This window comes from Homo sapiens, chromosome 7 (assembly GCF_000001405.40).
Source record: "Homo sapiens chromosome 7, GRCh38.p14 Primary Assembly".
NCBI classification, from domain to species: domain Eukaryota; kingdom Metazoa; phylum Chordata; class Mammalia; order Primates; family Hominidae; genus Homo; species Homo sapiens.
Genome location: NC_000007.14, coordinates 156,218,403 through 156,236,420, shown reverse-complemented (window position 1 = coordinate 156,236,420; position 18,018 = coordinate 156,218,403). Strand labels below are relative to the sequence as shown.

The following is an 18,018-nucleotide window of genomic DNA, read 5'->3' as shown; positions in this document are numbered from 1 at the left end:
CTCAATCAGCAGAGCCCATGGAGCTGCTCATCTCTCCTCTCTCTTTTATCCTCCTTGAACAGCAGGCGGGGACGGTTGGGATTTGTTACAAAAATAGGAACAACTACCCAGGAGGCTGAGGCGGGAGGATTGATTGAGTCCAGGAGGTCGAGGTTGCCGTGACCTGGATCACACCATGGCACTCCGACCTGGGCAACAGAGCGAGACCCTGTGTCAAAGAAAATAAAGACAAAAATAGGAACACCATCTCCATTTACTTTTTTGTTACTCCAAAAGCAAAATGCGTTTCAGATTTGCTTTGTTTTTTCACCTGGAGGGTTTGACGTGGGCACGATCTTCTTTTCCCCCTCCCCTTCCATTTCAGCGTCTCCAACCAGCGTGGTCCCCCTGCATCAGGCATGACAGTGCTCCCTGTGGAACAGGAGAGCCATCAGGAATAGGTCCATAGACTTGAAGGTGTTTGCCATATTCTCCATCACTTTCACTTCCTTCCTCCCAGCCAGCACTTTCTTGCCCTGTGTCCTACCCTTCAGAACTCTGCAGTGGTGGAGCTAATGCTGCCAATCCTCAAACATCCAAGTTGATAATCATTCCATATGTCACTCCTGTAGAGGGAATGTGCATTTTGTCATGGTCTCTGAAGCATTCGTTTTAGGAATGCTCTAGTGCTACAGGGTCAGGTGCATTCAGTAGCAGGTAAGTAGGGAATGCATTTGAGGAAGCGGCAGTTGGTCCCTGGGCTGGTCTCACATGTGTGGTTGTCAAGGTGATAATATTTCAAAGGGTAGTGAAGGGTCCCTTGTCCTCACTGCCCTGCTGCAGTTCTCTGTTATCCTACCTGAACCAGCCTGGACTTTCAGCAAAGTCCGTGCAAAGACTCCATCCCTAAATGACCACTTTGTCTGGTTTGTTGCTGCATTAAGTTGTTGAACAACAGTGCAAGTAAAGTAAGGTCCATGAAAAAAAAAAGCCATTTGAATGATGAACTTGCTACAATAATCTATGTGCACAAAGATACCCAGACTCACTGGTCTTTTAGGGGTTGGGTCTTCAGAATAAGCATCTGGGTGGCTTGGCCACGTGAGTCTCTATTCACTGGGCCGATAGCAGGCTGGCCAGGGCAGAAGCCCAAATGCTTTCTGGGAGGGGCTTTTGGTGGCTTGTCCCCTCACAACATGCAGCCACTGGTTTTTATGAGATTAGGAAAGGCTTGGACCCTGTTCACCACTGAGGCCCAAAGTAGAAAAGCCACATCCTGAAAAGGAGGGAGCAGAAAGAGGCAGACCTGGCCCAAGAGGGGCCCTTGGCTAGGACACTGTCCACTACAAAGCCTGGGAGGCCTCTTTCCGCATTGCGGCTGAATAAATGCACAAGCGCAGTCTGCTAGGATGCTGTCCACTATGTAGCCTGGTAGGTCCCTTTCCACACTGCAGCTGAATAAACGCAGAAGTGTGATCCGCTCGCTCTCCTTGCAGTGACCACGTGAGACAGGGGGCATTTCCAGGGCAGAGGTCCAGTAAAAGCAGTGAGGGCCCCTCCCCACCTAGGACTGGGGTCTGATTTCCTGCAGCCATGCCATTCAGGGTCTGTAACCAATAAGATGGGGGTAACATGTGGAGTCCACTCATTGGGTGTGTGCTCCCAGCCTTACCACTTTGCTCAACTATAAAGTGGGGCTGATAACCCCATAGGGTTGTTATGGAGATTAAAGGGTTTCGTACTTGTAAAGCACACAAAACAGTGCCCAGCACATCTGCCATGGGAGCGTTAGCACAGGCGTTCGTGTTAGTGGTACCATGAGCGTTAGCACTGTTAGTATTAGCATCAGCATTACCATTGGCATTCGCATTAAGATTATTACTAGCGTTAGCATTACTTTACTCTTGGTATTAGCATTAGTATCAATGTTCCTATTAGCATGAGTATTACTAGTGATATTAGCATTAGCATTATTACTAGTGTTACTATTAGCATTACTGTCGGTATTAGCATTAGCACCAGCATTAGTGTTACTATTAGCATTAGCATCACTACCTATATAATCATAGTATTAGAATTAGCATTAGTGTGTGTTGTTATTAGCATTATCATTAGTGTTAGCATTATTACTAGTATGAGCATTAACATCTGGTATTACTATCAGCATTAGTATCGGCATTAGCATTGACATTAGTATTAGCACTAGCATTAATAATATTACCAGCATTAGCGTTACTATTGGTATCAGCATTAGTACTACTATCAGCATCTAGCATTTGCATTACTACTGGTATCAGTATTAGCATTAGCATTAGTATCCATGTTACTATTGGCATTACTGCTGGTGTTAGTATTAGCATTTGCATTGGTATTAGTGTTACTCTTAGCGTCAGCATTACTACTTACATTAGTACTAGCATTAGCACTGGCGTTGGTGGTACTATTGGCATTAGTGTTGCTATTGGTATCAGTATCAGCAGCAGCATGTGATTAGCATTAGCATTCTGCATCCTAGAGCAGGGAGAAAGATCCCACGCAGCAAGTCAGAACTGGTGGCAACATGTGTGGCTTCTCCTCCGTCTACTGAATTTGAGAGTCACCTAGAGGTTGTCACGGTGGACAGACGCCACAGGGGAGACAGAGAAGCCGCATCCCATGTCCCATGGCTGCCCTCATTGGAAGTTCCACCTGTTGTGACCCCCACCTCTGTCCAACCATCTCTTCTGTTCTCTTTGACTCCCTCCCAGAACACGCTCCCGCAGGGCCCTCCAAGCTCTGGGGACCTGACTTTATCACATAAGCAGCCTCTCCAGGGAGGACACCTGTTTTCTTTCCCCGTTCCCCGCAGCCCTGCACGGGTCCTGGTGGTGGCTCTACCTTCCAGGCCAAGTCCGCCTGCAAGGTCTTGGGGCTGCCCCTCCCCCTCCCCAGAATGGCATCACGAGGCCCGGGCCTCCATGCAGACCTGTCCTGTGCCGTTTAAGCCGCCCAAGCACCCCCTGCCAGCGGTGGGGCACATCCATCCAGGGAGGCCGGGACCTCGGGGAGAGCCCCCCCTGCTCCACTTCTGTGCTCCCTGCGGGCTCTGTGGGTGGAATGCGCCGCTTCCCACGTGCTGCCCTTGTCGTTGACATTCTGATACAGTCTGTAATCAACGCAAGCTTCAGCTCCTCTCATTACTGGCTCTTGAAGGGATTCTTCAGACTCAGCAAGAACAGCCGCCTCGTCAGAGGACAGCATCTGCTCCCCCCGACCCCGCCCGCCGCCCGCGACAGACAGGGGGGTGCGCATTTGCATTCGGGTGCTCAGCCCCGGAAGGTGCCCGGGAGGTGCGGCCTGCTCTGCCGCTCCTGTCCGGGCTCCGTGGACTCTTGCCCTCACCTGAACCACAGGTGGCTCCTGTCCTGGTTCTGGGTCACGGAACAGCAGGGTTCTAATGTGGACACTGGGCACTACGGTCCCCACTCCACCTTTACAACATGGAATCTGACTGGAGAATGGGACTGGGGGCAGGAGTGTGTCCTCATGGATTTACGTAATTTAAGCCCCACATATTCCCAAAAAGGACCTATCACAATTCAATTACAATGCACATATAATGATGAATTAAAAAACTAAACGGACATTAAGAAATGCATATGTGTGCACACACATGTAAGCGTGTCTGGTGGAGAACAAATGTGCAGAATTGCAACAGGACCAGAAGCCAGCAGGGAAGCAAGCAAGTGCTGTCAGATCTAACGTGATTTTTAAGACGGGGCTGTAGGTTCAGCTCTGATTGTACTAAGAGGGAAAATGAAAAAGGAGTTGTGACATTTTCCAAAGTTTATCTTTGTTTTGAGCTAAAGTCACACCAGTTGCAAGGTCAAGAAAAGGTGACTGAAGAGGATCTCAGTGCTCAGAAGGGGACACAAGGTGGGTGCAGCCAGGCGGCAGCCAGGCCCTCATGAGCGTTCTACAGCCGGCCAGGTGGGTGCAGGCTGGCCGCACCCACAGAGGACCCTGGGATTTCAGGCCAAAGAATTCTTCAAGGGGAGATAAAAAAGAGACAGCTTTTTAGTGTCTTGGCTTAATGGAGAGATAAAGGCAAAACACCTAGAAGAAAAGATGGGTCTGAGCAACTTGTCCCAAGTCACAGTTAGTGAGAGGCAGAGCTTGGCCCCGAACCTGGGTGTCCTGACACTGTGCCCAAAGGGAAATGCCAATCTCAAGCTGCTTCCAGCTGCCATGCCTCTCCAAGCCACACCTGAACACCTGCCCCTGTGGCATTTCTCTGTTCCCTGGGTTCACTAGATGATGATGTCATGGATAATTGAATTCCATTGTCATTTCTAGTTTGTTTGTTTGTTTTTTGAGCAGAGGAGTCTCGCTCTGTCGCCCAGGCTGGAGTGTAGTGGCGCGATCTCAGCTCACTGCAAGCTCTGCCTCCCGGGTTCACGCCATTCTCCTGCCTCAGCCTCCCAAGTAGCTGGGACTACAGGTGCCCGCCACCACACCCAGCTAATTTTTTGTATTTCCAAGTAGAGATGGGGTTTCACTGTGTTAGCCAGGATGTTCTCGATCTCCTGACCCCATGATCCGCCCGCCTTGGCCTCCCAAAGTGCTGGGATTACAGGCGTGAGCCACCGCGCTCGGCCCGTAATTTCTAGTTTTATCCTTTCCCACCATGAACATTTAAGTCCCATTAAGAAGGCTTAAAGTTACCCATGTTTTTAGTGGTTTTCACAGCTACCTTAAAACAAACAAGAAAGCATCTATAAGTGTTTTATTTTTGGTGTAATTTCGAATTCATCTGTTGCCTCGTTTGAGACTAAGAAGCAAAAGATTAAAAACAGTCTTCCTAAGGGACGGTAACCAGGTAAGCCACAGTGGCTGTTCTTCCCAAAACACTGAAAATGTCTTTGGTTTAAGAGGCAGACATCTGAAAATTAAATGGAGAAAAGCTCCCTAACGGGGACCACAGGGTAGGTTGCAGCAAAAGTTTTCTCAATAAAAAAGGAATTTATTTGGTTTGAGAGGCAGACATTGGAGGAGCAAAGGGAGATGCTACAAAAAATATAGCCTGTCCCACCACAGAGAAAATTCTGTGCAAGGCACGGCCATCACTCAGAGACCTGCCCTAAATTTATAGAAAATATAGGCCAGAAAGGGGTAGAACTGAAGCTGAGTTGTTTGTTATTCTCCTGAAGTGAGTAAGAGCAGCTAAAATCACCTTGATTGGTCGCGAGCCCCTGCCATTCCGTGGAATAGCGGTGCCAATGGGACACTTTACTATAACACAGTCCTGGGTTTCTTTTCTCTACCCTCCCCACCCCCACCGTGGGACAATGGTTTGATTAGACTGTATCAGCCCAGAGTCCCCTGCCCAATCAGAATTCAAAAGTTCCTTCTACCAGAGATACCAAAGGATCCATTTCTTTATGTATATATAAAAAGAAACCCATAGTTTATATTTTGAGGGCCTTTTCTTAGTCACATATGCACATGTAAAAAGAAATTCAAAAATTATAAAAAATATAGAGCAAAAAAGGATTTTCCTTCCCACTGCTGTCGTGTTGCCATCTGGAACCCTCCATGGAGGTGGCTGTTGGGCTCTTCCAGAGGTGAGTTACACATACGTGGGTGCGCGGCGGGCACACGGTGGGCACGCACACCAGCGCATGCCCGTCCCCCTTATGTCGCATGCTCTGTATGTCCTGCATTAACAACAGTTATAGTAGAATTTTGTTTCATATAAAAGCATCTAAAATGGCTCTGTTCTTCACACCTGCATGACATTTCATTGCGTGGCTATAGCGTGACTTCTTTGACCTGTTCCCTCTGCTGTTCTCAATCTTTTGCAATTAAAATCAGTGCTACATTGAGTGTCGTTGTATGTATGCCATTCTCATGTATAGGACAAATCATTAGAAGTGGAATTGCAGGGTCAATTGTTTGAGAGATTTCAGTGTTTATAGCTCTTACCAGGTTGTTCCCCTCAAAGCTGCTCCTATTTATGTCATCACTGTACCGCAGAGCCCGCTTCCCCAGCTCTTAACAACGTAATATGTCGTCAAGTCCTTTAATCTTTGTCCAACTGACAGACTTCTAAAAATTATTTCCTTGTATTTTTAATGTATACTTCTCTTATTCTGAGTGAGAGTTTCTTTTTATATACCTAAGAGTTATTTGGATTTCCTTTTCAATGAAGTACATGCTTGGAAAAAATTGCCAATTTTTCTATTGTATTTTTTGGTTGTTTATTTGAAAAACTCTTTATAGATAAAAATTCTCTTTTCTATGTTATATCTTGCAAATATTTTCTATTTTCCTACTTTGAATTGTTTTTTGACTATATTTCCCACACTTTTCCTTATAAAGATAATATTTTATATTTTAAATATTATATCATTTTTTATGACTTCTGATTTTTGTATCATACTCTAAGATTTAAAGAAACCACCCCATATTTTCTTAGACTATTCTTATATTTGGGGTTTTATGTGTAAAATTGTATCATTCTAAAATTTACATTTGTTGAAGAAGTAAGCAGTGCTATAACTGTTTTTTCCGATGCCAACCCACTTATTACAACACTATTCATGAGACCATTCATCTTTCACTCTACTGATTTGAATTTTCACTTTTATTCTACATGAAATTCTATATGTATTTGGTCCTATTAATGGACTTTGTCTTCTGTTACACTGATCTATTTATCTATTCACGTTCCAGTGTAATGCAGTTTGATAATTGTAGCTTGATTCCTTGATTCCTTTCCATTCATTTCTCTTCTGCAAAGTTGTCCTAGTATAATAATTTTTGCAGGTTTTCCTTTCTTTTCTTTTTTTGTGACCTGAATCTGGCTGGTACTTTTTTTTTTTTTTTTGCATCCTTTTATTTTCAAAATTTATGAGTCACTGTTGAGGTGTGCTTCTTGTGTATTACGTTGGCTGCCATGGTATCCTATTGATATACTCTACCTGATCTTTTTCTTTAAATATGGGAGTTTATTACATGTATACTTCTTAACTAATGGATGTTTGGTTGTAACATTGATCCATATTTGATGTTGCTGTGGTCTTCATGTTTGTGTGCCTCTCAAAATAATAATATGTTGAATTTGAATCCCCAGTGTGTTGTTGAGAGGTGGGGCCTTGGGAGGTGAGGAGGTCATGAGGGTGGAGCCCTATGAATGGGATTAGTGCCCTTTTAGAGAACGAGCTTATTTATTCCTCTTGAGCTTCTGCCACGTGATGGCACATAGAAGGTGCCATCTATGAGGAATAGGCTCTCACCAGACACCTAATCTTCTGGCACCTTGATTTTGGACCTCCCAGCCTCCAGAACAGTGAGCAATGAAGTCATGTTGTTTATAAATTGCCCGGTCTCAGGTATTTTGTTACTGCAGCCCAAGACATATGTCAGGCTTTGGATATTTATTGGTTCTTTTGTTTCATAGTCTGTTATATTATTTTGTTGTGTGTTTTGCTTTGGTGTGTTCTTTATGCTTATAGATTTGTTTTTATTTCTGGAAAGTTTTTTTGAATTATATCTTGAAATATTTTTATGCCCTGTTATTTTAGTTCTCCTCAGGGATGTTAATGTATGTATGTCAAGAGATTTCTTTTGTCTAGCTTTCAAATCTAACATTCTGTCCCTGTCTTTTTCTCTTTATGCAGTAGTTCTATTTCATTTTCACTTCTCCATGTCTGTCACTGTGTTCACAGATGTGTCTCATCTCCTTTGTGCTGTTTCTGATATGACTTCTGGTCTGTGGTGATTTTGTGTTCTGCTCATTTCTGGAATGCCTCCAGCTCCTGATCCATTCTGACGGGGGTCTTACTTTGTGTTCGTAACCACTAACTTCATGTGCCACTTCCTTCCCCCGCCTCACTTATAGCAAAACTCTACAAAATGCTTTTCTATCCTTGTCTGACCTTCCTCTTCTCCCATTTTCTTTTTAGCTCACTCCAACCAGCCATTTAGCCTTCCACCATTCCATGGAAATTTCTCCTCCTCAAGCCACCAAAGGTCTGGAAATTGTCAAGTCCGGGGGTAGATTCTCAGTTCTCACCTGACTCCACTTATCAGTGGCTTTCACTAAGATGCTCACAGCCTCCTTCTTAAAAGACACGTCCAGGTGGCCTCCAGGATATCCATCTCTCTTTGTTCTCAACCTACTTCACTGGTTCTTCCTTCTCAATTTCCTTTGATGGTTCATCTTTTGGCCCCTAAAATTTTCTTGTCCTGGGGCTTCCTTTGGTCCATTTCTCTTCTCTGTGTACCTTCATTCTCTTAGTGATTTCATTTGACCTGGGAGCTATATTATAATACTATATGCTAAAAATTATGCAGAATCACACGTTGAGCCCATATGTCTACCCTGAAGTCTAGAGTTACATTATCTGAATGCCTTACCTCATCATTTGTTTGTTTTTGGACATTGCAAACTTGGTAGATCAGAGGGCTGATCTCTATCCCTTCCCTGCCCTCCTCCTTTTGATGTCTTTCCTACTTGGAAAGTGAACCCAAACCACTGGAAGAATGCAGTTCTTGAAACAGTGACCACTCCTGGGCTGTTCCTGGAAAATAAGGTGTTGCCCTGGGACTGCCATTGGTCAAAGGGTCCTGGAAGTGGCAGTGATGGACCACAGCTATTGGAACAATGCAAATCTATTCCTTCAACTATTCAGGTCCAAACTCAGACTCATCCACAACTTCAGTCTTTCATATCTCACATCCAATCTGTCTGCAATTCTTGTCAACTCTACCTGCAAAGTATACCCAGAACTTAACCACTTGTAATCATTTCTAACACCACAATTGGGTCCAACCCATTCATACAAAATGAAGCAAACATGGGTCTGATATTTCTGTGATTAAAGTCTGTGCAGATTTGATTGCATGTGCATCATTTCTGCTGCCTTTTCTTCATGGTGTCTTGCTTTCTTGTGCACTTTTTGTTTTTGAGTCTGAGCTCACATTTATTGGAATTTTATCTATGGGGATTTTCTGAGGCCTGGTTTGAAGTTAAGTTCTTGTGGAGAGGATTTTCATTTGCTTCTTCAAATGCCTGGGTTACTACTAAGCCCAATTCACCAAGAACAAAAATGTTGGCTTGAGATTTTATGGACCACTGGATAATACAAATTTGAAAGACAAACTTGCATGGGGACTGCTTTTAGTTTTGAAAACTCACAAGAGATATTTTCACCTCTTCTACTCAAGATGGAAAATGCCAAGTCTCCTGAGAGGTATTTTTCCTAAATGCTTCATCTGAAGTCCTTTAATAAGGGCAATGAAAGTTCATGGAGAGAGTTCCTCTAAACACCTCAGGCTGCCTTGAGCACTGTCCTCTTTCCTCCAATCCTGAGAGGCGATGGGAACCAAAGGTCAAGTCCACCTGGTTTATCAAGTCCGGAATTAGCTTCTGTCTTATTCTTTCTTCTCTATTAGGCCTGATGAACCAAGAGGTCACTAGCTGATGCCCCCATCCCTGACCCCTCTGGCACTTGCCTGGGACACTCCTACCCTCATTCTTCTGCTGGCTCAGTAGAGCAATTTTTTAAGGGCTGCTGCTCACTTTTTTGGGCATGATCCTGGCACCATCTCTGGCTCCTGTAACCCTGTCTGCTCTTCTATTTCTAATTCTGCGGTAGTACTGTCTCTTAAGTGAGTTCTGTCTTCTGATTCAGTCCCCCTCTATACTGCCATTTGTAAGAAGAACATCACGCTTCACAAGGAGATCCTGAGTTGTGGCATGGAACAGCTTGAACTTTGGTTTTCAGTGGCTGGCGATGACCTGAGCCCTGTGCTGAGAGAAGCTGCTTAATCACAATGGGTTTGTAATGTGGTGCTTCGTAATCTCACATGGCGCTCCAACAAGGGCCCAATGGAGTTTCTTCTGTGGTGACTTATATATACTCACGGAATTTATACTCAGAAAACAGAATGAGTGTCTGAAGAATATCCCATGACACTCACAGAAACAGCAAACCTCCACTGACAATCCTTTCAGATAGAAACCAAAAAAGCAATCACATGTGTCATACCCTTGGAATTCTGTGCCATGTTCACCTCACAGTGGCCTGTTCTTTTCCAGAGCTTTGAAGGGTAGTTGAAGAAAGAAAACATTGGTCATGGTTTTAAAAAGAGACAAAGCAAAAAAACTAGAAAAGAAAAGAAGGCACTATACTAAAAAATGCCAGGTACATTGTGAAATTGTGCATGTTTTACAGTTGCCTTCTATGATTTATATTCTGTGGCACACATTTCTGTTGTTGGTCAGCCTTGAAAGATGGCTCTGTTTAGACAACTATGTAGAGATGACTGGCACTTGGAGTTGCTTCAGTATGAGCCCTTGAAAATGAGTATGCAGAAGGCTTGTTATTATTATTTTTAAGCTGACTTCTGAGACATATTCCTATGGAGCCTGAAGTTTTGTGGTACGTAGATGAGGAAATGAATGGCTGTGTCAGGCTCTTACCACCTTCTCTTCCTCCTCTTCCAAGCTGGTGCACCTTGTCATTCAGCTGGGCCACACAAGCCCTGGCAGTGAAACTCCAGGGTTAAAAAAAGGGAAGGGTCACTTCTCAAAGATTGCAGGCAGGACCAGTGCTCAGTAAGTTCATGAAGTGGTCTGATTTTCTTTGGTACCCTTCACCTCCTCTCTTTTTCTCTTGTTCTATGGTCTGGCTACATCTTCTAATTTCTAAGGATGTACCAGCTACCTTTGCCATGTGTCTCACCAATGTTTTCCTAATATTACAAATGAGTAGCTAAGCCTATCAGAATTTCTATATAGATACAGGAAGTTTGAGCTGAGCTTCTCCTTTCTTTGACTCTGATGGTAAAATAGGACAAGAAGTACCTATTTGCAAGTACCAGGTAAAACAGGAGGATTCCAAGAAATGAATGGCTCATAAACTGAATATTCAATAGGATTTTGCTACCGCACAAGGTTGCATAACCTATTGAAAGTATGAAGGAAAGAGAAATGCCTTGGTTTCAACTTGGCCATTCTCCCCTTTGCCAACTTATTAAAAATGGAGCTCAACATTAGTTACTGAACACATAACTATTATGCCTGTAATTTCTCCTTCTGAAAAATAATTGTGTTGAAAATATAAAGATTCATTACAGTCATAACCTCTATTTAGTTAGTTGGAGTGGATTAGTAATCTATAACTACGTAACAAATTACCACAAACTTAGTGGCCTGAAAGAACAACATTTGTTATCTCATAGTTTTTATGGATCAGGAGTCAGGCATGGCTCAACCAGGTCCTCTGTTTCTGGGTCTCACAAGTCTGTAGACAAGGTGTCATCCAGGGCTGTGGTCTCATCTGAGACTTGACTGGGGAAGGATCTGCATCCAAGCTCACTCACATGGCTGTTGGCAGAATTCAGTTTCTCACTGGCTGTTGGCCAGAGGCCATCCTCAGCTCTTTTCCAGGAGGGCTGCTCCAACATGGCGGCTTGCTTCATGAAAGCATGCTGGACAAGAAGTCAAGAGAGAGAGTGCCACAGAGATGGAAGTGACAGTCTTTTGTCACCTCATCACAGAAGTGACATCTCATCAATTTTGTCTTATTTTCCTTGTTAAAGGCAAGTCATTAGATGCAGATCACACTTAAAATAAGGGGATATCACAGAGAAGTGAAGAGAAGGGAGCTTGGGTTACTGAAGACCATCTTGGAAAGATGCCTGCCACAGCAAGGTCTGCCTGCGTTTCACCCCAGTTTCTTGTTCTTTAGCAGTTTTCATCTGGTCCTGGCAAGGCAGGGCAGCCTGCTCCTCGATTCCTTGGAACCCTTTCATGACAAAAGACAGTCTGGGCTTTTCCTTCCTGCCTCCCTCAGTCTGGGAGTGGGTTGGGAGGCAGCAAGAAGCTAAGGAAGTGTGAGTCCAGCAGCCCCACTGCCTCAAAGCAAGCCTAGGAATGCCTCGTCACCATCAGAACAGATTCTCAGTGTTTGAGACAAACGCTACAGCCTTGGCACAGGGCTGGGGATTTTATGTACCCCAGTAATCCCCATAAAGTACTGTGTCTTTAATTACACAACCCACAGAAACTCTTAAAGTGGATGATTAAATAGGAGATAATTAATGACTTTCCATGGAAACCTGCTCATTTGCCAGTGGAAATCATTGGCTAGAGAGCTGCCTGAGTGTTCATGCCAGCTAGAGAGTCTGTGTCCTAATCTTCCAAAAGGCTGGGAACCTCCTGCTTCTGAAGCCCCTGGCATCTTACCCCTGCTGCACCCAGGTTGAGCACCACTGTGTGGCTCCATGGGCTGGTCTCCCCTGGGAAAGCCTGCGAGGCCTCTGGGGCTCCAGGCTGACGTTGTCACTGCTCCACTAACAGCCCAGTGGGAGGGGGATGCATTGTTGCCGCGGTACACACCAGCAAGCAGAGGCCAGAATGCGGGGCTTGCCAGGGAATTGCCTGGTTCCCCACAAACCAGAAAATCCTTGAGCAAACTTTTCACTGATAATGGCTTCGCTTTAGACTTTGGGATTGAGCCTTCAACTGTGAAAAGCTTAGCCTACTTCTCAACCAGTGGAAACAATTGTGTATGTGTGTGCGTGTGTGTGTATCAGACAGTGAGAGAGAGAGAGAGAGATTCAGAGATAGAGAGAGATGGAAGAGGTAGAGAGAGATAGAGATGGAGAGACAGAATCAGAGACAAAGACAGAAAGAGGCAGACATAGAAAGGCATAGAGACAGAGAGAGCAGAGACAGAAAGAGACAGAGTCAGAGAGAGAAAAAGGCAAAGACGCAGAGACAGAGATAAAGAGAAAAACAGAGAGAGATGCAGAGACAGAGAAGGAGATGGGGAGGAGAGGAGAAGAAGAGAAAAGAGAAGAGCAAGTGAGAATACGAAAGAAGATGGTTGTTACCAACCTGTGGTGTTTTATCCCAGCATTATCACTGACACTGATAGAGGGTGAGCCAATGTTCCTGAAAACGCCCCAGGGTGGTGCAGCCCCTCCTGTGAGTAGCTGGCTACAGTTGGTGTTGCTCCAAATTAAAGGGCAATTGTGACACAATTGAATGTATCACTGTTACAATGAAAGACAAATGCACCAAGAATCAGAAGCAAAGGTGTCTGCATATGATTCTTCTGGAGAACAGCCTATTTTTTTACTCATAGCTATTGTCCTAAATGGGGACTTTTAGTACATGGAAGTCAAGAAACAGTAAAGGTTTCACACAAGTGTGACAAATCAACGCATTACACTCAGATAGACGTTTGCCCACTGGTTCAATAACATAACTTCCTAGGCTGTTACTCCTTATTACTTTGTGGTTGATCAGCGGAGTTGCTGATTTGCAGACTTAAGTTGTGATGACATTTTTCATGCAGCTTCTGCTGAGTTTTTGCTCAGAATCTTAATTCCGCCTTACAGGAGTCATGTTACTACAATAAACTGAAATGCCCTTCCCTGCAGTTAAACCTGTCCGCACCATTGGGCCTCTCGTGCTTCCTGCACAGCCTGTGTCCTGTGGGTTCGCTTGGTCATTGTTGCCTTCTCGTAGGAGGAGTGAATGATTTGGCCTCAGCACCATCCACTACGTTGGAAGCTGGAAAGGAATCTGCCTTTCCTCTTGCCTCAAGCCCCCCAGGTCCTGAGCATTTGACCCTTTCTACAAGCAGAGGAAAGCCGTGCACAGAGCAGCTTCTGCAAAAACCCGTTGTGCTTTTCCTCCATGTTCACTAATCACAGCTTGGCCTACTGCAATTCAGGATGAGGCCTGATCATAGGGGCTGCCAGGTAGCTTCTAGGCAGCACCCATGGTGTGGGTCCAGGGGAAGGGGAGGGGAAGCTGGTCTTCAAATGGAAGTGAGATCTGAGTCTAGTTATCCCCAGTCACCCAGAGTGTCTTGAGCACTAGTTATGTGCAAGGCATGAAGCTTTGTGGCCAGAGAAAAGAAGTCTCTGCCCTCAAGCAGATTTTAGAAATGGAGGAAATCCTATGTAATGGGAAGGTGCTATTCATTATTATGCCTGGGGCAGGCTCTTCTCTGGAACTAGCACAGGGCCAGTGTCCCCAGCCAGGTGCACAAGCCTGCCAGGACTGCCGCAATCAAGTCCTGCAGATTGCAGGACTTGGACAACTGAAATTCCTTCTCTCACCATCCTGGAGGCCAAAAGTCCCAGATCAGGGTGTCAGCAGGGTTGGTTTCTCCTGAGGCCGCTCTCCTGGGCCGGCAGATGGCCGTCTTCTCCTGGTGTCCTCTCTAATGTGTCTCTGTTCTCATCTCCTCTTCTTAGAAGGACACCAGTCATATTGGATTGAGGCCACCCTAATGAGCTCATTTCACCTTAATAACCTTTTTAACGTCCTCATCTCCAGGTACAGTCACATTCTGTGGTACTGGGATTCAGGACTCCAGCATATGAATCCGGGGATAGGGTGGGATAAAATTGTGCCAAAATGCCAGGCTTTTTTTAAGATGAGGAGGTTTTTACAGGCAGGGAAAAAGAAGTAATGTTTGTGGAGCAACAGATAACAGGAGCAGAGGCAGCATGGTGGGCTGTACACAGTGTGCACAAGCGGCTGCCCCGTCCAGAGCCCGAAGCCCACTCCAGCAGAACAGGAACCTTACTGCAGCCTCTGATAAAGAAAGGTTTTCTTTTGCAACCAAATCATCTTTCAGAGGAAAGCCTTAATAAATAGGTTCAGCATAGTTTGATACCCATTTATAAGAAGATACTAAAACAAAAATTAAAGGTAAAACATTTATTATATCAACATATAATCTGTTTGTAATTTAGACTAATGACAGTCTTGAAACCTGTCATTTTTAGGCCAAAGTCAATACCAACATTAAAGAGGGGAACATGATCAATCCAGGTGTTTCCTTTAGCAGGACGATCTCAGCAGGGAGGGCCCCGCATTTCAAAGTTGTTTAGAGGATGCCTAAACCATGGGATTTGTGTCCAGTGCAGAGACCCAGTTGATAAGAACCCTACGAGTCAAATCCTTGCTTCCATGAACTCAGCTGCCTTCTGCCTGTGCTGGAACTCCCTTGCATCTTATTCTTCTCTGAGCCCTAAAAGTCTCTCATTTTAAAAGCATGTGTGTGCTAACAGCTAAGAGCTGTGAGAGATTACATGGCTCTGAAATGTACAAAAAAAGGCATGTATTTTCGCAGGCCACAGGCCAGTCCCCGGGGAGTAGAAGTGGTCAGTGTGGCCGTGGCCCCAACCCTATTCTTCCTAGCAGTGTCTTCTCCCCATTCTAACCTTCAGAATTGTTTTATAAGCATGGTTGCTTTGTATACCATGGGTGCGTATATGTTGTGTGTGCTGTGTATTTGTTCTATGCACATACCACACAGCCATCTGTGCACACGCATCATTACACACACAGTGTGTGTGGTGTCATCTATGCTGTGTGTGCATGTGTGTCTATGAATTCCAGGTTATCTCGGCCTCGTTTCTCCAGCAGTTGAGATGACGGAGATTAAAATGTCAAAGCTCTGAGCTGACGAGTGGGTTCTCACAGTGCATATCACCTGTCTGTTTTGACAGTCTTTGGCTGTTAAGAGTGATTAATGGAAGGCATCACAGAAATGAATGTGTCTCAATTCTGTCCCATTCTTTGCAGCTAATAGCCCCAGTATATGAAAATGTTAACGTGTGGCTCCCAGGGAAGCGTCACTGATCCTAATATTGTTACTGTCGTGGTAACGTCCATGAAGCTCATGCTGGAGCTGGAGCAGCTGGGGCCTGCGGTACAGGGTGGAGAAAAGCCTGATGCCTCTGCCTTGTTACCGTGAGCCCTGCACCCCAACATCCTCTTGGCATTTGGGTGTTTGAGAGGAGCAGGGAAGAGGGTCTCTGTGAGAAGAGCAGGGAGATAAGAGGAGGCGGGGAAGGGAGTGCTCAAGTAAGAAGATGAGAGCTGGGGACGGAATAGATGTGCCAAGTATTCACCCAAACCAGAGGGCAGTAGGACATTCCGGAGCCACCTTCTTGCTCTTTGGAGATGCATTTTGCATGTCGTGCCTTTCTTGGAAAAATCAAGTTGTCATGGAGTCCCCAATCCTCCTGGTGCAGGACTGGCTTCACAACACCCCAGAGCGCTCACCCCGAATGCCTGCTCACTGTGTTCACACGCTCTGGAGACACACACAGCACACAGCCTGCGGCTCACCGCATTCACATGCTCTGGAGACAGCACACAGCCTGCGGCTCACCATGTTCACACACTCTGGAGACACACACAGCCTGCGGCTCACCGCGTTCACACGCTCTGGAGACAGCACACAGCCTGCGGCTCACCACGTTCACATGCTCTGGAGACAGCACACAGCCTGCAGGGTAACTCTATTAGCACCCTTTTCTCCTTGGATTTTCCTGAATTCCCTCTCCTGTGTGTCTCTTAATCCTCAGTCTTACTAAACAAAAAAGAGCAGGAAGAAATCCTAGGCACATGTGAAGGCAACTCCCCTCTTTTCCCTGGGTTTTCTGTGGCCTCTGCTGGAGCACTGGGTCAGGAGCAGTGTCTGCTTCTGTGGCTCAGCCCGACTGCACCCTGGCAAGGAGCGGGCAGGCAGAGGCCGTGCAGGTTACAGAAAGCATCCTCAGAGGCCCAGAGGGGCAGGTGTGGGAAAATCAAACTGTCTACCACATCGGTCACAGTTTATGAGGAAATTGTTCAACAACAACAGCACCTCCAGCCCAGCTTCTCTGAGAAGGAGTGGGCCATCTGAGGCTCGCGAAGCAGGTGCTGCTGTCATCCGAGCCGGACTCACCAGTGTAAGTCAGCCTGGTGCTTAAAGGAAAGGTGAAAGCCTTCGGGATCCCCTGGGACCCATTGCAAAGGGCGCACAGAATGGAATAAATAGTGAAGACCAAAATAAAAGGACCTTAAGGGATGGGGGGGACGTCAAAGTCCGCGTTGGATTGAATGTCTGAACAAAGGAGACCAAGGAGAAGCAGGAGAGTCGGAAGTCCTGGGCCCATGGGACAAGGCGGGGATGCTGGGGAGGAAGCAGCAGGGCCCATGCGTCACTGTGGGGTAGGGAGAATCACAGGCTCAGAGGATGCAGCCTCAATACCTCCTGCTGCCGAGGACCTTCTCCTGCTCCGTGCTCCCTGCAGACTGAGGACCTCCTGCTCCATGCTCCCTGCAGACTGAGGACCTCCTCCTGCTCCGTGCTCCCTGCAGACTTGGACCTCCTCCTGCTCCGTGCTCCCTGCAGACTGAGACCTCCTCCTGCTCTGTGCTCCCTGCAGACTGGGACCCCCTCCTGCTCCGCACTCCCTGCAGACTGAGGACCTCCTCCTGCTCCGTGCTCCCTGCAGACTGAGGACCTCCTCCTGCTCTGTGCTCTCTGCAGACTGAGGGGACAGTGGGGCGGTGCTCCTTCTGTGGGGCCTCAGCCGGGACGCATCAGCAAATGTGCACCCCCCTTGACAGCTGTCCATCTGCTGACGCATGTGGCAATGAAAGTGGCACCCAAAGGAACCTGAAATAAACCCAGCAACTCGTCAGAAAGAGAGCTCACCTCTCAGACACGTAGGCAGATGTCTTCATGAGGGCATGTAAGAATTAAGCCTTCAGAGTGTGACCAACCTCAGTTTGGAGGCTGCTTCTGTTGATCTCCAGTTATGTGACCTTGAGCAAAGTCTACCAGATTCAGCTTTTCCTCTAAAAAACAGGAAGAATGACGCTGCCACTCAGAGCTGCTGCAAGGACTCAGCCAGATGAAGCAGGTGAACGTTAGGCATAGTCTAATACACAACGCTTGCTCAGTGTACAGGTACCCACATTTTAGGATAACAGAGGAAAAAAGGTTCAGATAAAATTACAAAAGCAGAAACTACTTTGCCCCAAGACTGTGCCTTTGAACACTTAGCTAAAATTTGGAGGATATTTATCAAATATGTAAATGTACACAATTAACATGTTGCATATTTAATCCAGTTTCAACAAGATTGCAAGAGCTTTAAAGATTGCCAGGTCTTTATGCATGAATTTCACTTAAAGCCATTTACAGTAAGAAAATAATCAGAAGTGCACAAAATGATTTATGAGAG

General features: G+C 45.9%; 1 long non-coding RNA gene across 1 annotated transcript; it reads right to left on the bottom strand.

Annotated features, from left to right (window-relative positions):
- Positions 1–253: 253 nt before the first annotated feature.
- LOC124901791 (uncharacterized) lies at positions 254–12,950 on the bottom strand. The gene is made up of 4 exons (XR_007060617.1): positions 12,869–12,950; positions 2,386–2,490; positions 527–605; positions 254–411 (listed from the first exon to the last, which is right to left on the bottom strand). It is a non-coding gene; the product is annotated as an uncharacterized LOC124901791 (long non-coding RNA).
- Positions 12,951–18,018: the final 5,068 nt, after the last annotated feature.